The sequence below is a fragment of the Homo sapiens genome, chromosome 11 (assembly GCF_000001405.40).
Source record: "Homo sapiens chromosome 11, GRCh38.p14 Primary Assembly".
Taxonomy (NCBI): Eukaryota; Metazoa; Chordata; class Mammalia; order Primates; family Hominidae; genus Homo; species Homo sapiens.
This window is the reverse complement of record NC_000011.10, coordinates 55960876-55988129: the sequence shown is the minus strand read 5'-3', so window position 1 is coordinate 55988129 and position 27254 is coordinate 55960876. Positions and strand designations below refer to the sequence as shown.

General features: G+C 37.9%; 1 protein-coding gene and 1 pseudogene across 2 annotated transcripts, besides 2 other annotated features; both read left to right on the top strand.

The window, feature by feature from the left end:
• Positions 1108–1684: an enhancer, noted in NCBI's record as "OCT4-NANOG-H3K27ac-H3K4me1 hESC enhancer chr11:55753922-55754498 (GRCh37/hg19 assembly coordinates)". NCBI's record gives its function as "activates a minimal SCP1, AML or CMV promoter by ChIP-STARR-seq in primed H9 embryonic stem cells {active_cell/tissue: H9 hESC(primed)}" and the evidence as "EXISTENCE:reporter gene assay evidence [ECO:0000049][PMID:30033119]".
• Positions 1685–2262: an enhancer, noted in NCBI's record as "OCT4-NANOG-H3K27ac-H3K4me1 hESC enhancer chr11:55753344-55753921 (GRCh37/hg19 assembly coordinates)". NCBI's record gives its function as "activates a minimal SCP1, AML or CMV promoter by ChIP-STARR-seq in primed H9 embryonic stem cells {active_cell/tissue: H9 hESC(primed)}" and the evidence as "EXISTENCE:reporter gene assay evidence [ECO:0000049][PMID:30033119]".
• On the top strand, positions 1725–9427 carry OR7E5P (olfactory receptor family 7 subfamily E member 5 pseudogene; annotated as a pseudogene). Its single transcript, NR_027688.2, has 4 exons — positions 1725–1849; positions 2199–2452; positions 4823–4901; positions 8053–9427. The product of NR_027688.2 is annotated as an olfactory receptor family 7 subfamily E member 5 pseudogene (transcript).
• Positions 9428–18184: 8757 nt separating this feature from the next.
• On the top strand, positions 18185–22375 carry OR10AG1 (olfactory receptor family 10 subfamily AG member 1). The gene is made up of 2 exons (NM_001005491.2): positions 18185–18238; positions 19623–22375. The coding sequence occupies exons 1-2, from the start codon at positions 18223–18225 to the stop codon at positions 20570–20572; spliced, it is 966 nt and encodes a 321-aa protein (NP_001005491.2). The 5' UTR covers positions 18185–18222; the 3' UTR covers positions 20573–22375.
• Positions 22376–27254: the final 4879 nt, after the last annotated feature.

The following is a 27254-nucleotide window of genomic DNA, read 5'->3' as shown; positions in this document are numbered from 1 at the left end:
GTTTCCTGAATACAGCACACTGATGGGTCTTGACTCTTTATCCAATTTGCCAGTCTGTGTCTTTTAATTGGAGCATTCAGTCCATTTACATTTAAAGTTAATATTGTTATGTGTGAATTTGATCCTGTCATTATGATGTTAGCTCATTCTTTTGCTGGTTAGTTGATGCAGTTTCTTCCTAGTCTGGATGGTCTTTACATTTTGGCATGATTTTGCAGCGGCTGGTACCGGTTGTTCCTTTTCATGTTTAGTGCTTCCTTCAGGAGATCTTTTAGGGCAGGCCTGGTGGTGACAAAATCTCTCAGCATTTGCTTATCTGTAAAGTATTTTATTTCTCCTTCACTTATGAAGCTTAGTTTGGCTGGATATGAAATTCTGGGTTGAAAATTCTTTTCTTTAAGAATGTTGAATATTGGCCCCCTCTCTCTTCTGGCTTGTAGGGTTTCTGCCGAGAGATCCGCTGTTAGTCTGATGGGCTTCCCTTTGAGGGTAACCTGACCTTTCTCTCTGGCTGCCCTTAACATTTTTTCCTTCATTTCAACTTTGGTGAATCTGACAATTATGTGTCTTGGAGTTGCTCTTCTCGAGGAGTATCTTTGTGGCGTTCTCTGTATTTCCTGAATCTGAACGTTGGCCTGCCTTGCTAGATTGGGGAAGTTCTCCTGGATAATATCCTGCAGAGTGTTTTCCAACTTGGTTCCATTCTCCCCATCGCTTTCCGGTACCCCAGTCAGACGTAGATTTGGTCTTTTCACATAGTCCCATATTTCTTGGAGGCTTTGCTCATTTCTTTTTATTCTTTTTTCTCTAAACTTCCCTTCTCGCTTCATTTAATTCATTTCATCTTCCATTGCTGATACCCTTTCTTCCAGTTGATCGCATCAGCTCCTGAGGCTTCTGCATTCTTCACGTAGTTCTCGAGCCTTGGTTTTCAGCTCCATCAGCTCCTTTAAGCACTTCTCTGTATTGGTTATTCTAGTTATACATTCTTCTAAATTTTTTTCAAAGTTTTCAACTTCTTTGCCTTTGGTTTGAATGTCCTCCCGTAGCTCAGAGTAATTTGATCATCTGAAGCCTTCTTCTCTCAGCTCGTCAAAGTCACCAGCTTTGTTCCGTTGCTGGTGAGGAACTGCGTTCCTTTGGAGAAGGAGAGGCGCTCTGCTTTTTGGAGTTTCCAGTTTTTCTGTTCTGTTTTTTCCCCATCTTTGTGGTTTTATCTACATTTGGTCTTTGATGATGCTGATGTAGAGATGGGTTTTTGGTGTGGATGTCCTTTCTGTTTGTTAGTTTTCCTTCTAACAGACAGGACCCTCAGCTGCATGTCTGTTGGAATACCCTGCTGTGTGAGGTGTCAGTGTGCCCCTGCTGGGGGGTGCCTCCCAGTTAGGCTGCTCGGGTGTCAGGGGTCAGGGACCCACTTGAGGAGGCAGTCTGCCCGTTCTCAGATCTCCAGCTGCGTGCTGGGAGAACCATTGCTCTCTTCAAAGCTGTCAGACAGGGACATTTAAGTCTGCAGAGGTTACTGCTGTCTTTTTGTTTGTCTGTGCCCTGCCCCCAGAGGTGGAGCCTACAGAGGCAGGCAGGCCTCCTTGAGCTGTGGTGGGCTCCACCCAGTTCGAGCTACCCGGCTGCTTTGTTTACCTAAGCAAGCCTGGGCAATGGCGGGCGCCCCTCCCCCAGCTTCGCTGCCGCCTTGCAGTTTGATCTCAGCCTGCTGTGCTAGCAATCAGCGAGACTCCGTGGGCGTAGGACCCTCGGAGCCAGGTGCGGGATATAGTCTCGTGGTGCGCCGTTTTTCAAGCCCGTCAGAAAAGCGCAGTATTCGTGTGGGAGTGACCCAATTTTCCAGGTGCCGTCCGTCACCCCTTGAATGTGTACTTTTTATGTAAATTTAATTGTTTACCTGATTCATCAGATTTATATTAGTTATTATATTTTCTTGCATATTGTTCAATGCATTTGTATAAAACAAAGTTCCTAATATTTTTATTTTATTTAACCCAAAAGAAAATTAACTTGTAAAAGCATTAAGAAACTGCTAATTATTGTATTGAATGTGATTTTCTCATCTTCTTTCTTTAGAAACTAACAATATTTCTGAAACCCTCTCTTATAAAGACAATATTTTAGTCTCTTTGTTATGCAACTATCTCTATTGCATTCCAATTTTTCTTTCTTTCTTTCTTTTTTCTTTTCAGATGGAGTCTCGCTTTGTTGCCCAGGCTGGAGTGCCTTGGCGCGATCTCGGCTCACTGCAGCCTCCGCCTCCCTGGTTCAAACAATTCCTGCCTCAGCCTCCTGAGTAGCTGGGACTATAGGCTCCCGCCACCGTGCCGGGATAATTTTTGTATTTTTTAGTAGAGACGGTGTTTCACCATATTGGCCAGGCTGGTCTCGGACCCTTGACCTTGTGATCTGCCTGCCTCAGCCTCTCAAAGTGCTGGGATTACAGGTGTGAGCCACTGTGCCAAGCCCAACTTTTCTAATTTCTAGTCTTTTCTTTCATTTAGGTGTTTATTGTTACCACATTCTCAAAATTTGCAGCTATCAACCAATGTTTTGCCTCATTTAATGGTTTTTGAATAATTTATTTGTTAAAATTATGCTATTGGCTATGTTGAGTCAATTTCTTCATCAGTAATTAGATAAGGCCAAGTGGAAACTAGTTTTCAAAATCTGTGAAGGTCCCAAAGTTAGAAAAGTAAGCAAACAAGCTGGAAAGAATGATAGAATCAAGATTCAAGGATTACCTATATCCAAATAACCCCCAAAATAAAATTATATTAATAGATGGAGACCTACATTAAGGCATAAAATGAATAGAAATCCTGTGTTATTAGTATGTAATACCAAGTTTAGATTTAGTTTATTAAATAAAAACTAATGTGCACAATGTGATTTTCATTGGTCTATTAAGATGTGAAATTAAAGATTTGTAAATTATTAAAGGTTAGTATCTAGATTAATGAAGTAATTCATTTAAATTTACATAAGTCAAATAAAATAAAAATAGTGGATTAATTCATAGGCAACATGCTTCAAGATACACTTCAGGTGTCTACATGAAAATTCAAATACAAAGTAGGTAAATTTTGAGAATATGTAATCTGTAAAAGAGGAATATTCAAATAACTTAATAGCTTTACTGAAAATACATAGAGTGCTTGTGTGTAATGAAATTTCTCGTGTCAGAAAGCGGAAAAGTGGTCATTCATTATTAAACTTAGATATAATTTTCTGCTTTGGCTAAGTAATTGGTATGTGTTAGATTTTTTTTTCGGAGGGTTTGGGTCGGGGGACGGAGTCTCTGTAGTCCAGGCTGGAGTGCAGTGGCCGTATCTCGGCTCACTGCAAGCTCCGCCTCCCAGGTTCACGCCATTCTCTTGCCTCAGCCTCCAGAGTAGCTGGGACGACAGGCGCCCGCCACCATGCCTGGCTAATCTTTCTTTAAATAGTTTTAGTAGAGACGGGGTTTCACCGTGTTAGCCAGGATGGTCTGGATCTCCTGACCTCGTGATCCGCCCGCCTCGACCTCCCAAAGTGCTGGGATTACAGGCGTAAGCCACTGCGCCCGGCCGGTGTGTGTTATCTTTATAAATTTCTTTTTTTATTTTTATTTTAATATTACTGTAAAACAGTGCACATATGCTTGTAATATCCCTGAGCTTCAGAAGACTTCTTGGGATGTGTCATCCATTTAACAAAATTATTTTCCTCATATTTGTTAGTAAAGCATGAGGTGATAAATATTAATTAAGGAACTCCAAGGCATTCTGAGGTGCAAGCAGGAGAGAAACCTGATAAAATCTTTATCAAAAACACTGAGTTTCTGAATTGGGCTCAAAACTCTCAGCCTCCTAAATTTGTATGATTATTTTAACTATGTATTGTAAAACAAATAAATAAAATGGAATTTATTAGCTAAATTTCTTTTCAGGGCATGTCAGATTCATTAACACACTGCTAAGAGAAACAGAGAAATGAAAAAAAAAAGAGGCACAGACTTGGTGAGGACTAGAATAGAAGGTTTATTAAGTTGGGAAACAGAACGCTTGTAAACAGCAGACAAATATGAAATAAATATTGAGATTTTAATTTACAGATTATAAAATCATCATGTCCAAGTCATGTGTTATGGATGAGGAATGTTGTCAGAATTATCTGAAATGCCAGATCTCGTGAATGTTAGTGAAAAGACACAAACAAACAAAAAACACTAAAGAGCGAATGAAAATGACCTCTCTGTGGCTGACTGTAATGATACGGCTTTCTCCCCCAGTATTCAGGCCCTTGAGAGTCTCTCTGAACCTGTTCTGGTTTTGGAAACTGCCAGATGAAAAACAGAAACAGTAGGGCCCAAGAGAACCAAGTAACATGAACTCAGAGAAAGATGCCAATAGAGATAAGAAGAAAAGTTACAAACATCAAACTCGATTTTATTTATTTTTAAATCTTTAAGCATTTTTAAATTGATATGAATAATTATTTAGGAAGTACATGTGATATTTTGATACATGCATAAAATGTATAATGATCAAATCAGTATATTTAAGATACTCATCCCCTCAAATATTTATCATTTCTTTGTGTTGAGAACATTTCAAACATTCTCTTCTAGCTATTTAGAAACATACAGTAAATTATTATTATTATTATTATTTTATTTATTTATTTATTTATTTTGAGATGGAGTCTCGCTCTGTCACCCAGGCTGGAGTGCAGTGGCGCAATCTTGGCTCACTGCAAGCTCCGCCTCAGCCTCCAGAGTAGCTGGGACTACAGGCGCCCACCACCACGCCCCGCTAATTTTTTGTATTTCTAGTAGGGACGGGGTTTCACCGTGTTAGCCAGGATGGTCTCGATCTCCTGACGTCGTGATCCAGCCACCTCGGCCTCCCAAAGTGAGTAAATTATTTTTAACTGTAGTTTCCCTATTCTACTATTTAATACTAGAATTCACTCCTCCTATCTGACTGTACGTTTGTACCCATTTACCTGCCTCTCTCTACCCCTGCTCCCCACACAAACTCTTCCCAGCCTCTGGTATCCACAATACTACCCTTTACTTCCATGAGACCCTCATTTTTCATTCTTTGCCCACCTGGATATTAGGAACAATATCAAGGGGGCGGGGGGAGGTGGATGGAAAACACCAGCTATATTGAGAGTAATGTCAGCCGCTCCCCCTTTGGATATTAGGAACAATACCACAGAAGGGACGTACTCTTCCTGCGATATAGGGAGTAGCATCATCCTCTTCCTCCCTGGATACTATGAACAATATCACAGGAGGAATGTACACCTTCTGCGATATTGGGGGTAATATTATCCACTCCCGCCCTGAATATTAGAAAAAGTATCACAGGGGGGTGTACACCCCTGCGATATTGGCAGTAATATCATCCTCTCAATCCAGGGAATTACGAACAAGATCACGGGGTGGGGAGGTGTACACCCCTGCGATATTGGGAGTAATATCATCCTCCCCCAACCTGGATATTAGCAACAAGATCACAGAGGGGGTGTACACACCCTGCGACTTTGGAAGTAATAAGATCCTCTCTCCGCCGGATACTAGGAAAAATATCACAGCGCGAGTGTACATTTCCTAGGCTGTTGGGAGTAATATCATTCTTTTCCTCTCTGGATATTAGTAACAATATCACAAGGGTGCTTTACATTTCCTTCATATTGGGAGTAATATCATCCTCTCCCCGTTTGAGTATTAGGAACAATATCCGAAAGGGGTGTCCACCCTCTGCAATATTGAGAGTAATATCATCCTTTATTTCCCTGGATATGAGAAACAATATCACAAAAAGGTGAACACCCCCTGCAATATTGGGAGTAATGTTTTCTCTTTCACGGGACATTAGAAACAATATCACAGGGGATGTTTACACAACCTGCGATATTGGTAGTAATATCATTCTCTACCCCCCAGAATATTACCAACAATATCACAGGGGTGGTGTAAACCTCCTGCGATATTGGGAGTAATATCATTCTTTCCACCCCTGGATATTAAGAACAATATCACAGAAGGGTGTACATCCCCAGTGATATTGGGAATAATGTCATCATCTCCTTCCCTGGAAATTAGGAACAATATCACAGAGTGGGGGCGGTGTACACCTTCTGTGCTATTGGAACTAATATCATCTTCTCCCCCCCTAGATATTAGGAACAATGTCACACATGGTGTACACCCTCTGTGATATTAGGAAGAATATTACAGGGTGCACACCCACTGTGACTTTAGGAGAAATATGTCCCTAAAATGTTACAAATAATATCACAGCGTATACAGTAATATCTCCCTAGAATATTACAGATAATATCACAGGGTGTATACCCACTCTGATATTAGGAGTAATATCTAGGATATTATGAATAATATCACAGGGGGTACACCCACTGTGATAAGAGGAGGAATACCTCCCTAGGATATTACGAATAACATCACAGAATGTACACCCATGGTGCGCACCCACTGTGATATTAGGAGTAATATCTACCTAGGATATAATGAATAACAGCACAGCGTATACACACATGATGTACACCCACTGTGATATTAGGAGAAATATCTCCCTAGGATATTATGAGTAACATCACAAAGCGTACACAGATGGTGTTCACCCACTGTGATATTAGGAGAAATATCTCTCTAGATTATTACTAATTATATCACAGAGTGTACACCCACTGTAATATCAGGAGTAATATCTTCTTAGGGTATTAAGAATAATTTCACAAGGTGTACACACATGGTGTATACCCACTGTGATATTAGGAGTAATATCTACCTAGTGTATTAAAATAATATCACAGGATGTATACCCACTCTGATATTAGAAGTAATATTATTCTAGGTTATTAAGAATAACATCACAGGGTGTAAAAACATGGTGTACACTCACAGTGATATCAGGAGTTGTATCTCCATAAGATATTATGAATAATATCAGAGGGTATACACCCACTGTAATGTTAGGAGTAATATCTCCCTAGGATATTACAAATAATATCACAGGGTGCACACCCACTGTGATATTAGGAGCAATATCTTTCTAGGATATTACAAATAGTATCACAGGGTGTATGCCCACTATGATATTAGAAGCAGTATCTCCCTAGGATATCAAAAATAATATCTCAGGGTGTACAACTCTGCTTCCCAGGTTCTAAGGGATTCTCCTGTTTCAGCCTCATGAGTAGCTGGGGTTACAGGTGCCCGCCACCATGCCTGGCTAATTTTGTATTGTCACTGGAGACGGGGTTTCACCATGTTGGCCAGGCTGGTCTGGAACTCCTGACCTCCGATGATCCATCACCCTCAGCCTCCCAAAGTGCTGGGATTACAGGTGTGAGCCATCGCACCCGGCCAAGAGTTATACATTTAATGAATCCGGAAACACAGCTCCCATATTTGACCGTGCATTTACTTTTATGAAGAAATGATGTCAGAAAACCTAAGGATGATAATAAATATGAAAAGTAACCAGCACGTAAAAAGATCTTCTGATTAAAAACTGTAAGGTTTGATTTAGTTTTTAGATAATGCAGTCCTAGCTCTTGTATAGTGCTTATAAATATTCTACATCAAAGGAATTTGTAGCACAGTGTCAGAATAAAATAAAGTGTGTTTCACTGCTTCTTAATTTCTTTCAATTAGATTGAGTTTTTTTTTCTTAAAGAGAGAAGAACATTTTATTTATTTTTATTTTTTCTGAAAAGAATAGGCCATATTTTACTGAGATCATGGATTTGTTATATATTACATTTTGATCTTCTAACATTGGTCAGTGGCTTTTCTCTAAAGTAGGTATGTACAGAAAGAGTTGAATAGCAAAAAAGTAAATTATGTAATAATTCTGAGATTTTTGGGTTTGTCACAACGGAGAAATATTGCTGAGGGTGTGTGGTCCTCAAGTGTGAAAATGTTCCTTGTGAATTGCTTGTATCCAAAATACACACACAGCATTAAGTGCTGGTTTTTATCTTTTAATTTTCCAATCCTCTTTTCTTCTCATGGTGTCCAAGTGACACAGAGCCACAGAATCTCACAGCTGTCTCAGAATTCCTCCTCCTGGGACTCTCAGAGGATCCAGAACTGCAGCCCATCCTCGCTGGGCTCTTCCTGTCCATGTACCTGGTCACGGTGCTGGGGAACCTGCTCATTATCCTGGCCATCGGCTCTGACTCCCACCTCGACACCCCCATGTACTTCTTCCTCTCCAACCTGTCCTTGCCTGACATCGGTTTCACCTCGGCCACGGTCCCCAAGATGATTGAGGAGATGCAATCGCATAGCAGAGTCATCTACCATGGGGACTGCCTGACACAGATGTCTTTCTTTGTCCTTTTTGCATGTAAGGATGACATGATCCTGACTGTGATGGCCTATGACTGGTTTGTGGCCATCTGTCACCCCCTGAACTACCCAGGCATCATGAATCCTCACCTCTGTGTCTTATTAGTTTTGGTGCCTTTTTTCCTTAGCCTGTTGGATTCCCAGCTGCACAATTTGATTGTGTTACAATTCATCTGCTTCAAGAATGTGGAAATCTCTAATTTTTTCTGTGACCCGTTTCAACGTCTCAACCTTGCCTGTTCTGACAGTGACATCAATAACATATACATATATTTAGATAGTACTATATTTGGTTTTCTTCGCATTTCAGGGATCCTTTTGTGTTACTATACAGTTGCCTTCCCCATTCTAAGAATTCCATCCTCAGATGGGAATTATAAAGCCTTCTCCACCTGAGGCTCTCGCCTGGCAGTTGTTTGCTTATTTTATGGAACAGGCATTGGCGTGTACCTGACTTCCGCTGTGTCATCATCCCCCAGGAATGATGTGGTGGCGTCAGTAATGTACGCTGTGGTGGTCACCCCCATGCTGAACCCCTTCATCTGCAGCCTGAGAAACAGGGACATTCAAAGTGCCCTGTGGAGGCTGCACAGCAGAACAGTCTAATCTCATGATCTGTTCCATCCTTTTTCTTGTGTGCGTTAGAAAGGGCAAGCACATTAAATCTCTACATCTGCAAATCCTACCCCCTTGGTCACATTATTTTTGTTGCTTGATGGCTTTTATTCCTTTCCACATTTCCTATGTGAATATTGTCTTCTTTGTTATGCCTTTAACTGGAATGATGAGTATTCTGGGATCCTTTGTTTAGCGTAAACATCACGACTGAATCCTCTCTACCTAGGTGGCCTCCTTTAGTTTCTGAGCAATAAACCTGTTTTCCAGGTGAAATCACAACCATCTTTTCATATACAGGAAGTCCTGACTTCATTTTGTGTTTGCCTGAAAATTGACTTTATGGAAACAATGTACAGTAGGTCCTCCAACACCACTGTTTTGTTCAAAGTTGTTTACTTATAACGTTGATGAGGAATAAATTGGTTTCACTATACATAATTTTGCTTAAAGATTCAGTTTCCAAGACAGTATCAAAGACGTTCAGTGAGGACATACTGTACATCAAATTCACATCCTCTTCCTGAGTTCATGTGGAATCTCTTTAGAGACTACTTCTATGGAATCTATTTAGGCAGGTTATGTGTAGAGATCCATGTCACCGGTCTTCAATCTTGGCTTTGACTGAAATCACCTGGGGAGCTTACAAATGATGAGGCCTGTGTCTCATCACCTGAGATTCTGATTTACTTGCACCTGTGTGGGTACGCAGATTTTTTTTTTTTTTTTTTTTTTTTTTTTTTTTTTTTTTTTTTTAAAGCACCAGAGATGGTTCCAATGATAAAGTTCCTAGAGGGATCAAGCTCCAATGAGTAAGAACAGAAGTTAAATGTAACATGATTTCTTCAAATATTATCTTCAAATGCATTGCCCTTCAACACCATACAAATTTTTCTTATGCTGTTTTTTCTTACCATTTAGCATTTTCATTTTACATTTGTTGAAGTTATAGATTTATACACACATTGATTGCTGTTTTTTCACACTTGTACGTACATAAGATGGGAACTAAAAAAGAATAAAATCGTCAGGGTATCCCTAAAATTTCACATTCTGGTACATTTTAAACGTATTTGTTGTTTAAAAACTTGTTTCAATTAAGAAACTGTGGTATACACATTACAGTGAAGTATTATTCAGCCTAAAAAAGAATAAAATTCTCTCCACTGCAGCAAAAATTGATAAGATTGCAGGTCAGTATATTAAGTGAAATAAGCCAGGTGCAGAATGACAAATATTACATGCCCTCACTTATATGTAGGAACAAAAAAGAAAATCTTGGCAAGGTGTAGTGGCTCTTGCCTGTAATCCCAGCACTTTGGGAGGCCAAGTCGGATGGATCACCTGAGGCCAGGAGTTCAAAACCAGCCTGGCAAACATGGTGAAACCTCATCTCTACTAAAAATACAAAAATCAGCCGGGTGCGGTGGTGCATGCTTGTAGTTCCAGCTATTTGGGAGGCTGAGATAGGAGAATCGCTTGAAACTAGGAGGTGGAGGTAGCAGTGAGCCAAGATCATGCCTCTATACTCCAACCTGGGCAATAGAATGAGACTCCATCACACACATGCACACAAAAGGAATCTCATGAAGGTGGAGTATAAAGGTGGTTAGCAGAGGCTAGAAAGAAAAGGGGTGGGATGGGGAATGAAGAGGAGTTGATAATTGGGTACAAAAATACAGAAAGATGGAATAAATGAGTTCTAGTGTTTGATAGTACGGTACAGAAATTTTAGTTCACAAGAATTTACTGCATATTTCCCGATGGCTTGGAAAGAAGCTTTTAACTTTCTCATTATGCTGGTTTTTAAGCTATTATCTTTCTGCTCCAATCACACCCTTCTATACTCTTCATTTTGAGGCTAAATTGGGACTCCTGAAATCATGCTTTTTTTTTTTTTGAGATAGAGTTTCCCTCTTGTTGCCAAGGCTGAAGTACAATGAGTGTGATCTCAGCTCACCACAATCTCTGCCTCCTGGGTTCAAGCAATTCTACTGCCTCAGCCTCCTGAGTAGCTGGGATTATAGGCATGCGACACCATGCTCAGCTAATTTTGTATTTTTAGTAGAGATGAGGTTTCTCCCTGTTGGGTCAGGCTGGTCTTGAACTCCCAACTTCAAGTGATCGGCCCGCCTTGGCCTCCCAAAGTGCTGGGATTACAGGCATCAGCCACTGGGCCCAGCCCATGCTATATTTTTTCTGTTGTTGTTTGTTTTTGAGCCATAAATAACTTCTCACGTATATGTTCAACTGATTTTTAACATGAGTGCCAAGAAAGTTCATTGGTGGGAAAAGCAGCCTTTTTAATAAATGTTGCTGGAGAAACTTGATTTCCACAGAAGCAGAGGCTAGGAAGAAAAGGGATGGGATGGGGAATGAAATCCTGTCATTTGCAGAAAAATTGATGAAACTGGACGTTGTTATGTTAACTGAACTAAGCCAGACACAAGGAGACAAATGTTGCATTATCTCACTCATATGTAAAGCTAAAAAATTTTGATTCCATGGAAGTAAAGAATAGAATGGTGGTTGCCAAATGCTGGGATGGGATGGGAGGAAGGGAGCATGAGGAGCGTTTGGCTTATGGGTACAAAAATACAGAGAGATAGAAGGAATAAGTTCTAGTGCTTGATAGCCCATTAGGGCAACTACAGTTAAAAATAATATGTTGTATATTTCAAAATAGCTGGAGGAGAAGTGTTAGGATAATGCCAACACAAATAAATGATAATAGTTTCAGGTGATGAATATCCCAATTACACTGGATGTGATAGTTACACAATGTATCCATGTATGAAAATACCACATACAGCTCATAAATATGTATATTATATATCAATTAGAAAAATATGCATGTTACCTTGTGCAGGAGGTTCTAGCCAGTGCAACGAAGTGAGGGAAAGTAAAATTGAAACTATTAAAGGAAAAGTTGCTCCTTTAAGTAAGTGTTATGAATGTTTACCTAGAATATCTTAAGGTATCTAAATATAAAGACCAGTGGAATGAAAATAAAGAGTCCAGAAAAAAATATAAATTAGATATTATATAATATATTGCATATTAATATATTTATATCATATTAATAATATATTAATGTATATTATCTTATATATATAACATAATATGTAGATAATTAGCTGATTTTTGACAAAGATGCTGGGATATTCCATGGGGAATTAAAAGCCTTTTCAACAAACAGTGCAAGAGCAGATATCTACATAGGGACTAAAGGAACATCAAACTTGACTTCACATTAAATGCAAACATCAACTCAAAATGGGTCATAGACTTGAAAGTAACATCTAAAGTATAGAAACGTCTAGAAAAAATCATAAAAGAAAATTGTAGGGATATAAAGATTATTACACACTTCTAAAAGAGTACTCAGAAAGCATAATTCATAAAAATATGTATTAAATTAAACCAAAACTAACAGCTCTTTTCTTTAAAGAATAGCGTTAATAAAATAAAAAAGGCAACTAAAGAGTGGTAAAAATATTTCTTAATATTTCTGAGTAAGAGTTTGTATACAAAATGTGTAAAGAACACTTGCCATCCAATCATAAGAAGACAATCCTGGGCCGGGCGCGGTGGCTCACGCCTGTAATCCCAGCACTTTGGGAGGCCGAAGCAGGTAGATCACGAAGTCAGGAGATCGAGACCATCCTGGCTAACATGATGAAACCCCGTCTCTACTAAAAATACAAAAAAAAAATTAGCCGGGCGTGGTGGCGGGCGCCTGTAGTCCCAGCTACTCAGAAGGCTGAGGCAGGAGAATGGTGTGAACCTGGGAGGCGGAGCTTGCAGTGAGCCGAGATGGCACCACTGCACTCCAGCCTGGGCAGCAGCGTGAGACTCCATCTCAAAAAAAAAAAAAAAAAAAAAAGAATACAGTCCTGTAAGAAATAAATGAATTTATTAAACAAGTTAGCCAAAAATTACTTGTAAGTATTCAATAAGCACATAAAAATGTGCACACCATTTTAGTCATTAAAGACATAGGAATAAAAATCCAGAACCTACCCATGACTATGGCAAAAGTTGAAAATTCTAACAGTGTCAAGTTTTGGCAAAGGTATAGAAGTATTTTTACTCTCATACTTTGTTGGAGAGAATGTAAAAGAATATAAGTGCTTCAAAAAACACTTTGACAATTTCCTAAAATATAAATAAATTCTATAACATGATTCATTTATCCAAAATAAATGAAAATATGTGTCAAATGTAAACCGCGTTTATGAATACACACAGCCGCTCCATGTACAACACCAAAACATGGAAACAATCAAAGCTCACCAGCAGAGGAATGCATAAGCAAATTACGGTATGTTCATCCAATGGAATTCTATTCTGCAATGACAATGAAAAAACTATTGATATTTACATCATAGATGTCTCTTAAATCTTTATGCTAAGGAAAAAAACTTCACACATAAAAATGTATATTCTGTTGATTATTAATTATCTTTAACTATAGGAATCTGATCTGTGGTTTCCTTGGGTTACAGGCGAAAATGAATGATATTGAAAAATTTTAAGAAGGACTGTTTCTGGATAATGTGAATGTTCTGTACCTTGATTGTGGTTTCACAATTGAATATGTCTGTCACCACATTGAATTTTAAATATAATTAAATATATTTTAAAGTATGTAGTTTATTTTCTGAAAATTATGCTTCAGTAACATTGTTAATATAAGAGTAAGACCATATTAAAAATAATAATTACATTGTATTAATATAAGATGCAAATATATTTTTATAAAACAACTAAAATACATGGACAAATATCAGGAATAATTATTGTGTTGTAAATTTTAACATTTAAACATAAATATAAATGTATTCAAGTTATCACATGCTATGTTGCATTTGAAACTTGCTTTTAAATACAGGTTTCACAATATAATATGTCAATTTTAGTTTCTCCATTTACTTTCAAAATTGTCAGAGTTAGATAATAAATAAATTGATGCTCTAAGTGATGCCTAAAATCTCAGAGAGCTACCAATTAGCCAGCTTTAACTTGAAACAGAGAGGCATGAGGGTACTAGGATATTTAAAATCTATATTTCAGAAAAATTTGTCACAGGGATTGTTGTGCAGTAATTAAATGAGAGTTTTTTTTTTTTAATTTCCAAGAAAATGTTACAGCCAAAAACATCACAAGGTCAAGATTACTAAATCTTTGACTCTTCGATCTGTAAATAAATTCCAGGTCCTCAGACCTGCTTCACCATTAATTGAGATGCAAATCTGAGCAGGGTGCAAGGAGACTGGGATTGTTCAAATCTCCTTTAGATGCCACTGCAAAAGAGGTAAACAAGGTAGAGTGGAACCAAGCGTTTAGAAGAAAAATTAATAAAGGAATCTATTTGTATGCAGGGTAAGTGTCCTTAAGATTCTACCCAGAGAAATAGTGACAGCTGTCTCTCCAAAAAAAAAAAAAAAAAAGCATCAGCATGTTCCACTCCAATGTCACTGTATACTGAGTGTGTAGTGGAAGAAATATTTCCATTTTTTATTCATTGGTCTCTTAAACTGAAGGAGATCACCCATACCTAATATAGAGAAATGGGTAATAATCATAGATCATAAATTTTTAGGGCTGAACGTTATGGCATTGGGGAAATACCTTCTATATTTGGGAGAAAGAGTGAAATACCCTGGGGTGGAATCTGCCTTGATGTTCTCCAAAAATCGTTTTGTTTTTTTGACCTACAGTAATACAACATCCCCTAGCCCTCTCACATTTAAGTTAGATCATGTTAATAGTTTCTACAATAGCATATGTGTGGAAATGACGCATCTATCATGTGCTGAGACTCTTTAGAGGGAGTTTCTTTCCTTATGCTCTGTCCATACTTGGTTCTCAGCTCTCTGAATGCTCGTGGTCCAATAGAGAACTACAAAGATGACCTAGGGAACAATAGGACTATCAGATGGAAGGAAATAGAGTTTTTTAATTACTAACCACCACATTGCACTATGATATGAATGTAAGATACTTCTTTATTTTGATAAGGCGTTGATATATCTGTGGTAATGTTTCAGGTTTTAGACTTGTTCAGGTCACTGTGGTATTTAAATGAATTATGAAATACCCAATTTATCCAATTCTCCTTTTTCATAATACACCAGTGTACTCCAGTGGAAAATGGACATTCAGCTTGTCCCAACCTGGTAATGGAAAGTTTCTGGAAAATCATGAGTACCATTTTCAATTGTAGATGGAAATGAAGAAAGCCCTCTTTGGACATACCAAATCAGTGATAATAAAGAGTACAGAGGAACAATGTAGGAGAGGCATGCTGTGGTATAGAGAAGCAGATTTAGCATGCATAGAGGAAGTTGGTTTTAGAAACATACTGTCAAATGGTCATAGAACGCCAAACAAGAAGAAACAAATGTAACTCCACATAGAAGTAGATTTGGTGCTCCTGATTTTATGCCTGAGAAACATCACCATACACACCCGGAAGTAGCTGCAATAGGGAAAGGATGTTGAAAAGTTTCTTCTTTTCCTTCTGTTTTAAATAATCTAGTTTAAAATGTTTATTTTTGAAGTGGCTTGCATTAAATTTTTTTTTTTTATTGTAGGTTCAGGTGTCCATTTGAAGGGTTGTTCCACATGGGGTTTGTTGTACAGATTTCACCCAGGTATTATTTTTTGTTTTTCTTTTGAGACAGAGTTTCACTCTTGTTGCCCAGTCTGGAGTGCAATGGCACGATCTCGGCTCACCGCAACCTCCACCTCCCAGGTTCAAGTGATTCTCCTGCCTCACCCTCCCTAGCAGCTGAGATTACAGGCATGTACCACTACACCTGGCTAATTTTGTATTTTTAGTAGAGATGGGATTTCTCCATGTTGGTCAGGCTGGTCTCGAACTCCTGACATCAGGTCATCCGCCCTCCTCGGCCTCCCAAAGTGCTGGGATTACAGGCTTGAGCCACAGTGCCTGGCCCTCACCCAGGTATTAAGCCTAGTACCCAATAGTTATTTTTTCTGCTCCTCTCCCTCCTTTCATTCTCCATCCTCAGGTAGGCCCTCCATGTGTCCATGTGTTCCCATCACTTAGCTCTCACTTTTAAGTGAGAGCATGCAGTATTTGGTTTTCTGTTCTTGAGTTAGTTCGCTAAGGATAATGGCCCTCAGCTCCATCCATGTTCCTGCAAAGGACATAGTCTTCTTTTTTAATGGTTTCATAGGATTCCATGATGTATACGTACCACATTTTCTTTATCTAGTCTACCACTGATGGACATATAGATTGATTCCATGTCTATGCTATTGAGAATAGTGCTGCAATGAATGTATGTGTGCATGCATCTTTATAATGGAATGATTTCTATTCCTTTGGATCTAGAGCCAGTAATGTGATTATGGGGTAGAATGGCAGTTCTGTTTTTACCTCTTTCAGGAATCGTCACACTGCTTTCCACAATGGTTGAACTAATTTACACTCCCATCAAGACACTGTAAGTGTTGCCTCTTCACTGCAACCTCACCAGCATCTGTTATTTTTTGACTTTTTAATAATAGTGATTTTGACTGGTGTGAGATGGTATCTATCTCATTGTGGTTTTGATTTGCATTTCTCTAATGATCACTGGTTAGTGATGGAAAGTTTGATTTGCATTTCTCTAATGATCACTAGTTAGTGACCATTAGACCCGCTCAGGGAGGGACGGGCCCACAAACGCTCCGAGGACAACGGCTCTGCAGCAGGGCCAAAGGTGCACTCACTCCGGGAGCAGTGGCACACAGGATGTATGGGCACACTCACAGTGGCAGGGAAGGGAAGGCAATGTCCTCTGGCACACACACTCACTGGCAAAGGGATGCTGGTATTAGTGTTTTTATAATTAGCATAAATAATAGGAGAGAGACATAAATAGGGGGTGGCTATGGGTGAGTGAGTGCAGGCAAAGTGGCCCGAGAGGCTGCAGTGCAGGGAGGGTGCTGGTGGGCTGGCCTGTGTCTGCACAGGCTACTCTGCTGGATCAGTCTGCTGGTCAGCCGGGGGTCCACCAGCACAGGAGCTATGATGTGGCCCCCAGGAGGTACCTGGCTGGGGGCCAAGCTGGGACCCAGGAGAGGCCAGCAAACTGAGTGGTGCTGAAGTTAGAATAGCCTCATGTAGTGGGTGAGACTGCCGTGCAGAATTCAGGTCCCATAGTTCCCATAGGGCTAAAGCTTCCTACGGGAGCAGGTCAAGCCTGGGGGGATGGGCATCCCTGGCCATGCTCCACTACAGACACTTTCACACTAAACCCTCTGGATTCCACACAGGCTGGAGTTCTGCCCCTACCACTTGTCTAAGCATCTCTCCCTGCCAGTTCAAGTGTTACTTGTGGTCCAGGGGTTTTCTCCTGCTGGGATTCGGAGGCTCATGGAAAGAGAGGGTTGCTCCTTGCCCATTCAACTCATGCTTTTGCAGGAGTCACTGGGGGCCAGGAATGCTTCCTGTGTGTGGTACCCCCATGCAGAATTCCTTTCCTTCTGAAGATTTGCTAGGAGTGCACCAATCTTCCTGATGTCCTGGTCCCTCGTGGGCGATGTTCCTCTTGACTGCGTCTAGTGGGACGTCTTGGAGTGGTATATTACATTTTCAATCAGCTGGATACATTTCCCTGGTGCCTTATAGACAACACAGAATGAAATAAATGTATAGATAGATTTTCTCAGCAGAATTAACATGTTTTAATATCCACAAAAAAAGTTAACCTAGGAACAGAGGGTTCCACATCTGAAAAAGAATCTCACCGTTCAATATGTCGAAGACATCAAGCATATCATGTTCGTGTGATTAAACACATGATATATTTTTTAAAGGTCTAGTTAATTTGGATCTGGATAAATTATTGGAATAGAAGTAAGGCAGACAAATCCACACTAAGTATTAGGGGCCTCAAATACACAGTTGGAAAATTTTTAACTTTTTCCTGAAAGTAATACTAGACAACTAAATGGTATTTAATTAACTCCCCTCATGAGGAGATGAAGAGGAGGATAAGTTTACTTAAAGTAGTTTTGAAAAATGAATCAGAATGATTGACAAACAGAAGCAGCCTTCTAGAAATTAAACTGATACTCAAGAGAAGACACATCCCAGGTTGAGTCTGACTATTCCTATATAAGAGCTGTTGCTGTTTGAAACAAGCAAGCGTATTGCAAAATTACAGTTCCCGAGAAAAGGAAGAGCTTAAAAAGTCTGTACAGACAGCTTCATGCAAATCCCTAAAGGTAAGCCATAATTGGGTTGACAGACTATTTTATTTAAGAATAGTTACAAGTTTGTGGATAGAAATGCAACTAATAAAACAGAAAAGCATGAAATTTTGAGACCTTTATCTGAAAATTAATTATTTAACATTTAAATCATGTATCTCTTCACTACAAAGTTAAATAAAATTAGATGTCCAATAATGGTAAAATTGCATTAGTGATGAAAAGTCATTTAAGGCAATTTTGAAAACTAGTACTAATAGAAATGTATAAATATGAGATAGTATTTGTCTGATCACTTTCATTTATCAACGTATTAAGTCAAATGCATTGGCTGACCGGGCTAAAATAGGTATAGGTGCAGCAGATTTGAAGACACAGAAAAAAAGAATTTGTTTAGAAAGTTGGAGAACAAACGTTAAGCAAGTGTAATGGGAATTGACAAGCAGTGATTTCCTCATATTGGATGACATTGACATGAAGTGAAGCAAGACAGTGTGTTTTTGTTTTGTTTTGTTTAATTTTTTGGTCCCATTTATATGCTCTGGCCACTTAGATGGCCAGAGTAAATGTTAGCTGGGTTTAATCAAAGAATTTTACTTTAATAAGGCAACAGGATGAAGGGAAAATAGAGAGAAGGAATTGTATTTGGTTGAAAGGAACTGTATTTGGTTATATGACAATGGAGAAATTCACTTAGATAAAAAAAAGAAATGTAAAAAAAATTGTGATGAATTTCTACATCTTGATTAAGTTATAATTTAATTACTATTTAGCATTCACTGTATTCAGGGCAATAACAGGGGAAGTCAATAAACTGCCTACTGGTATTAGTGTTTTTATATTTAGCATAAATAATAGGAGAGAGACATGAAGTAGAGCAACAATAATGCATGTATTTAGTCTCTCAGTAACCAAGAAATTGTTTAAGATAATTGATTCTCACTGGTGCATAAAAGGAAAAGTTTAAAATTCATTTTGAGTATGAATTAATCGTAATATTCAAGGGCAACATTTTGAATTAAAAAAACTGGAATATGACTACCAATACAAAGAAAAATGATATTCTCAGATGAAATAGTAAAAGCCTACACTATAACTCTACTCTTAAGTGTGAAATAATAAGATGTTATTCCTCCATAATATTTTCTAAACAACAATGCATGCTTCTCAATGCCTCTGGTTGCATTATATCCCAGTATAATAAAATATATTGAGGTTTCATTTCTTAAATTGATTTTAATGCTAAATCAGTTTATTATCTAGAAACAGAGCAAGTACTGGTGAAAATGACTTAAGAGCTTAAGTAAGTATATTCCTGTATCTCATTTAGTTAACCCAAGAGGAAAATATTGTTCAAAATATGGATGAATTAACTGTCTTGAATTTGCTATATCTGCAGATGGAGAGCAAACTAAAAGAGAAAAATCAAATGTGACTACAATAATGGAATTTGTTCTTTTGGGGTTTTCTGATATTCCCAATCTCCACTGGATGCTTTTTAGTATATTTTTACTTATGTATTTGATGATCCTGATGTGCAATGGCATCATAATACTACTAATAAAAATTCACCCCGCTCTCCAGACTCCCATGTATTTTTTTCTTAGCAATTTTTCCCTTTTGGAAATCTGTTATGTAACAATCATTATCCCAAGAATGCTCATGGACATTTGGACTCAGAAAGGAAATATTTCTTTGTTTGCTTGTGCTACACAAATGTGTTTTTTTCTTATGCTTGGAGGCACGGAGTGTCTCCTTCTGACAGTGATGGCCTATGACCGCTACGTGGCTATTTGTAAGCCTTTGCAGTATCCTCTAGTGATGAACCACAAAGTCTGCATTCAGCTGATAATAGCTTCCTGGACCATCACAATTCCTGTAGTAATTGGGGAAACATGCCAAATTTTCCTTTTGCCCTTTTGCGGAACTAACACAATTAATCATTTCTTTTGTGACATCCCGCCAATACTCAAGCTTGCTTGTGGAAACATATTTGTGAATGAGATAACAGTCCATGTAGTAGCGGTGGTGTTTATCACGGTGCCATTTCTGTTGATTGTTGTCTCTTATGGCAAAATTATCTCCAACATTTTGAAATTGTCATCAGCCAGAGGAAAGGCTAAAGCCTTCTCCACCTGCTCATCTCACCTAATAGTTGTAATCTTATTCTTTGGAGCAGGTACTATCACTTATTTACAGCCCAAACCACATCAGTTTCAAAGGATGGGGAAACTGATTTCTCTTTTCTACACCATTCTGATTCCAACTTTGAATCCTATTATATATACCCTGAGGAACAAAGATATCATGGTGGCATTGAGAAAATTACTAGCTAAGTTATTAACATGAGATGAAGACTTGAAATTACAGAAATAATTTCTTTATAGGTTTGTCATGTGGCTTCAGTGAATTTTTTTTTAACTTTGTCCCTATGGTATTCAATAATGAGTACTGAAATTTAAATACAAACTTACATTATGTCAAGGGGTGTTTTATTCACAGAATATAGTTATGTGCTACTGTGCAGTTGGAGCACAATTTAACTAAGGTGCCAAGATCTCATTCTGAAGATCAATGGTTAACTGTTGATTAAGAGACCACCTGAGCAATAAAATGAAAAATAACTGAGTGAGTCATATAATTAGGGGTTAGGATCAGGCTCTGTAATACATCTTCTTTCACCTTCCCATTCCTTCAGATGTATTTACCACCTTTCTCTGACCCTTGGGTTTGGATTTAACTGATTAGAAACACCAAAAATAGCTAAGATGGTGGAAACAAAGGATATGGGATTTTCTTTGCATTTTACCCTACTTGTTTCTCATATCTTTGTCCATATATTTTTAAATCTAAATATCCTGAGAATGTTTATTCCTCTAACTGCCTACATCTTACTCGTCTCTGATAACATATTTTCTTTCCTTGTAGCTTCAGGTCTTGCTTTGTTAATATTTAGTTTTCATCCTAAACTAGCCTTACCTATGTGTGTTGGGTTGAATGTTGGACCCTCAAAATAGAAATCTCCAACTAGAACCTTCAAATTTAATCTTATTTAGAAAAACAAAGACTTTCAGCTATAGTGAAGCTAAAGATTGTAAATGAAAGTACCATGATTTAGGTTGCACATGAAGTCCAACGACAAGTGTTATTATAAAAGACAAAGAGGCAGAAGAAGTTTGAGGGGAAAAAAGGTGCAGAGAAACAGAGAAGGACATCATGTAAAGGTGAAGGCAGAGACTGGAATGATTCAACCACAAACCAAAGATGGTCAAGATTCACCAAAACAAAAAGGGGCAAGGAATGAGTCATCCTTAAAGCCTTTGAAGGAAGTGAGTTCCTGCCAACGTTGTGATTTTGGAGGAGCCTAGAGAACTGATGAGTGACTAATCTGCTATTGCCTTAAGCCACCCAATTTGCAGTAAGTTGTTAAGATAAACCAGGGGAAATAATATATCACACAAATTGTCCTCTTATTTAAGTTTTTTATTTGAATATCTGGAATGAATTCTGTATTCCACCTTGCCTCAGCTGATTCAGCTGATATGCCATTCCACCCTACCCTTCAATTGTTGCATGCATTTTGGGCAGTAAATTGACTTCTGTTTAAAAAAAAAAATATATATATATATATATATATTCTTCTTACTTTACAAGCTAAATCAATGAAATTTGATCTTGTAGAGGTAATATATTTTCAATAGTTATTACAAACGTGTTTTTTCAAAAACTTTTATAACGAAATTTGTTTTATTGATGCAAAACAAATTTGGGAGTAAAGGGAAGTCACTCTCAGAGTATATGAAGACACTGGAGTACATCTTTACCTTACAGTAATGCACAGCCTCTCAAGATAATGTCTCAGAACTGCTCAATTGAAGAAATTCCTACTTCCCTAATATGTAAGAATGCATATGTACTTAAAAAATATAACATCATTTTTGTAAAACCAATAATAATAGCAACTATAATTTCATATAGCATTTTACATGTGCATATTAGGAATGGGATGTTTGCATATTAGCAGTGTCTAGGAGGATATGCATCAGAAGAGAATATTGGCTTCTTCATACTGGCAAGAATTCAGAAGATTTCTGTTTTATTATATTTTAATTTACAATTTATATTTACTACATGGGGAATATAAAGTTAGATCACAAGAAATAATATGTTTTGTTATTATGAAAATATAAAACTATATTACAAAGAAAATATTTGCGTTTCTCTTTTTTATTTCTACTAAATGTCATAAAGAATATTTCCCATCAAGTAGGTAAATTTTTTACATCAACCAAATCTAATTTTGAAAGAAAAATAAATATCTTTTGATCTAACAGGAATGCCATAAAAACATATGGCATTTAGGGACATTCTTTCAAAGTATAACTGAAAGTCATTTAATGATAGTATCAGAGAGAGACAAATTTAAAATAACAAAAGTGGGCATAATTAAAAACAAATGACTAACGGTGAGCCTTAAATGATGGTCAACGAAACAATCTAGAAAAAAAGAAAGAGAAAAATATGAACAAATATTGAATTGATGAGTGGATTCTTACTAATATTTAGCAAATCAAATAGATAATAAGCACAATAAAAATTTACGTGACTATTGACAAATGATTTTCCAGTCTGTAATAAATGAAATATGCAAAAATGAATTTGCATATTATCAGAAGCCATATAAGTGGTGTATTTATAAAGTGAGCCTTTGTCCTTTTTAATGCAAAAAGATATGTATAAATTTTTGTTCATATACTTGCTGACAATGATAATTTAAACAAATTCCAAAATAACAAAGTAAAAAAATAGCAAAAATTTAATCATTTAAAAAAATGGAACTTAAAGCACTTAATAAGGCTAATAAAATAAAGATAACATGAATCTATTTATACTTAATGACAATACAATGGGTAAGTTAATTTTCTTTCTTTCTTTTTTTTTTTTTTTTTGAGATGAAGTCTTGCTCTTTTGCCCAGGCTGGAGTACAGTGGCCCAAATTTAGCTCACTGCAACCTCCACCTCCCAGGTTCAAACAATTCTCCCACCTCAGCCTCCCAAGAGCTGGGATTACAGTCACGTGCCACCATGCCCGACTAATTTTTGTGGTTTTAGAGGAAATGGGGTTTCACTATGTTGGCCAGACTGGTCTTGAACTCCTGACCTCAAGTGATCTGCCCTCCTCGGCCTCCCAAAATGCTGGGATTACAGGCGTGAGCCATCGCACCTGGCCGGTAAGTTAATTTTTTGATATCCCACCATATCAACCCAATTAAGAAAATATATATCTCTAAATATTGTCAAATCATTGATCAAATATTTCCTATGTATCATTATTAAGCCTAAAGAAAATAAATACATTTGTACTGTTTTCTCTAATTTGAGTATTTGAAAGGATTCACCAGATTATACAGAATGTACCCAAAGAAGGATTTTTTAAAGTCAAAGGACAGGCATGGTGACTCACGCATATAAACCTAGCACTTTGGGAGACCAAGGCCAGGATGAGCACTTGAGACCAAGAATTTCAGAGCAGTATGGGCAATATAGTGAAACTGTGACTCCACTAAAAAATTAAAATAAGCTGGCATGTTGACATGTGCCTGTGGTCCCAGCTACTTGGGAGGTTGAGGCAGGAGGAGTGCTTGAGCCTAGGGGTTTGAGGCTACAATAGACTGTGATCATACCAGTGCACTCCAGCCCGGGCGACACAGCAAGATCCCATCTCAAAACCAAACCAAACAAACAAAAAAAACAAATGAAGTTAAAAAATATTGTTTACGAGAAAAGGAAAACTGCAGGCATGCATTGAATGTCTTAGAGTATTCAGCAAGAAGAAATTCCCAGGGCCCTTTCTTTCCCATACAAGAAATTACATTCTTACTTATTAATAACATCAGGTGAACTGTGGAAAGAATATGGATTTCTGGAGAGGTCAGAGAGTAAAGGGAATTGAGGTGGAGTATAATTTCTGTTGTCATTTTATCAAGTCAGGTTGTCAAACTCATTACAGCAGTCACAAACCATCTAAAAAGAAAGTGACTGAGGTTCCAGAGTTGTTTTAGACCTTATACAGAATACCATATCTTATCTTATCTGATCTTATCTTCACCAAGAGTAAAAATCTAGGCATCCATACATTCCCAGATAAAGAGAGCTTTTCTAACAAAAGGTGTAGATCAACTCTATATCCACAATGGTAATGGTATATTCAATGCCTTTTAAGTGATTGCATTGCCTTTCTAATGCAGCATAACAAATGACTACAAACTTGGCAATTTAAGAAAACATACATTTATTATCTCGCAGTTTCTCTAGGTCATAAATTTGGCACAGGATAGTAGGCTCCCTGCTTAGAGTCTCAGAGGCTGAAATCAAGGTATCAGCTAGGCCAAGTTCTTGTCTGGAGGCTCTGGGGAAGAATATCTGATTATAGCTAGGGTCAGTTACATTGTTGGTAGAGTCTAGTTTCTTAGTTTCTTGAGATTGAAAGACAGGTCAAATTTCTTTTCTTTTCTTTCTTTCTTCTTTTTTTTTTTTTTTTTTTTTGAGACAGAGTCTCCCTCTGTCGCCAAGCTGGAGTGCAGTGGCACAATCTAGGCTCACTGCTACCTCCTACTCCCTGGTTCAAGCGATTCTCCTGCCTTAGCCTCCCGAGTAGCTGGGATTACAGGCACGCACCACCACACCCAGCTAATTTTTGTATTTTTAGTAGAGATGGGGTTTCACCCTGTTGGCCAGGATGGTCTCAATCTCCTGGACAGATCCAATTTCTTAGCTGGATGTCAGCTGAGGCCAAATCTTATCTCCTAGAAGCTAATTGCATTCCCACGCCCTCTCCCCTCTTCCATTTCCCTCACTTTAAATCTGATTTTTTTTTTTTATCTCTGACCACTGTACCTAGATTTAAGGATTCATATGATTAGGTCAGGTCAACATGAATAATTACCCTAAAGTCAACTGATATTAGACCTTAATTATATGTGCATAATGCTTTTACAGCAAGGCCTAGATTAGTGGTTGATTGCACAACTAGGAGACAGGTATAAGTACAGGAGGGAGCAGTAATATTTGGGCCATCATAAAATTGTACCTAGTACAGTTATTCAATAAACAAATGTTAAAATCTGAAGAAAATGATAAAAATGTATAAAAGCAAAAGCTAATTAAAATCTACTTTCAAATGGGATTAGTAAATTTATGTGAGAAGTTCTGTCTATCTTACTTTCAAGTAAAAATTCAGAAGGCCAGGTGTTGTGGCTCAAATCTGTAGTCCCACCACTTTGGGAGTCCAAGGCAGGAAGAACGCTAGAGCCCAGGAGTTCGAGACGATCCTGGGCAACATGGAAAAAACCCTGTCTCTACAAAAAATACTAAGAAATTAGCCAGATATGGTGGCCCACGTCTGTAGTCACAACTTCTTGGGAAGCTGAGGTGGGAGGATCATCTGAGCCCAGGAGGTCGAGGCTGCCTTGAGCCGTGATGGTGCCACTGCACTCCAGCCCAGGTGACAGAATGAGATCCTGTTTCAAAAAAAAAAGAAAAAAAAATCAACTTAGAAACTGAGGCAAGCATAAAGAGTTTGGTCTTAGCAAAATTGGGAGAGAACGAGAAAAGGGCATGGATCAAATAACGTTTTGTTTCAAATTAGAATGTGATGTGGGAGTGAGTACAAAAGTCTCTGTTATACCTAACAATAATTTTCACACAGATCAAGGAAGTTGGTTAGAAATGATAGCAGGGACTGTGATAATTTTTTTTCTCTGATATATATCAGATTTAAAATAGTTCTATTTATCACAGACAGGAGATACAGCTTGTAATAGCACCCATGTTGTCCTTGACAAAAATAATTAACTCTCCAACTACGATAGTGTTGGTTTTAAAAAGAAATAGATCATAATAAATAAAGCATGTGCATGTAATATATAAGAGTCTAATGTTCCCACATTCTAAGACTCAGGTGCAAGAATTAAGGAGAAACATTAAGAAACAGAGATAAGAAAGGAACTCAAAGACACAATTTAAATATTCTCCAGGGAATTATAGATGGCATTAAGAAGTGTTGCTTTCTCAAGAGTATTCTTGCTGCTGCCAAGATTTAGTGGGGTTGGCGGGGTGGGTGGCCAGGGAACTGAATTCCACTGGATGACTGTTGTGAAGGGCAGCTTTGGCCAGAGTGTCTGTCGAAAATTCTAAATGAGTGATCAGCAGAAGCACAAAGTTAAATATTAAGGTGACATATGGGAAATAAATGTAATCAGTAGCAAAAGAAGAATATTTTTATTTAAAGATAACATGATGTTTTGGATTTTTTCTTTTGTTTTTTGAGACAGAGTCTCACTCTGTCACTCAGGCTGGAGTGCAGTGGTGCAATCTTGACTCACTGCAACTTCCTCTTCCCAGGTTCAAGCGATTCTCCTGCCTCAGCTTCCCAAGTAGCTGGGACTACAGGCACCCGCCACCATGCCCGGCTAATTTTTGTAGTTTTTTAGTAGAGATGGGGTGTCACCTTGTTGATCAGGCTGGTCTCGAACTCCTGACTTCAAGTGAGCCGCCTGCCTCAGCATCCCAAAGTGCTGGGATTACAGGTGTGAGCCACCGTGCCCAGCCTGAATACACATATATTCTGAAAGAGACATGAGTTTCTGTCATGAGAAGAAAAATTTGTTAAAAGTATTTTATTAACACAATTTAAAGTAATGAATATGCATATTATATTTACACAATATATAATTATATATTAACATGTACTTAAACTCTTCTACTGAGAAAGCTATAACTAAATCTAGCAGAGAGCTATAACAAAATCTAGAAACATACAAATTATTTTAAATGTTATAACCTTTGTATTTGTTATTTTAAAACATTGTAGAAATATGAGAATCAAGATTCAATAGATTCAAAATTCAGCATGTAAACAAGTTTTTAAACACAAAAATTTTATTCAATCAAAGCCTTCATAGTTGGATTTCTCCCTTCCTAATTATGGAGGAAACAAAACAAAAGTAATACTAATCACTTTGAAGCTCAG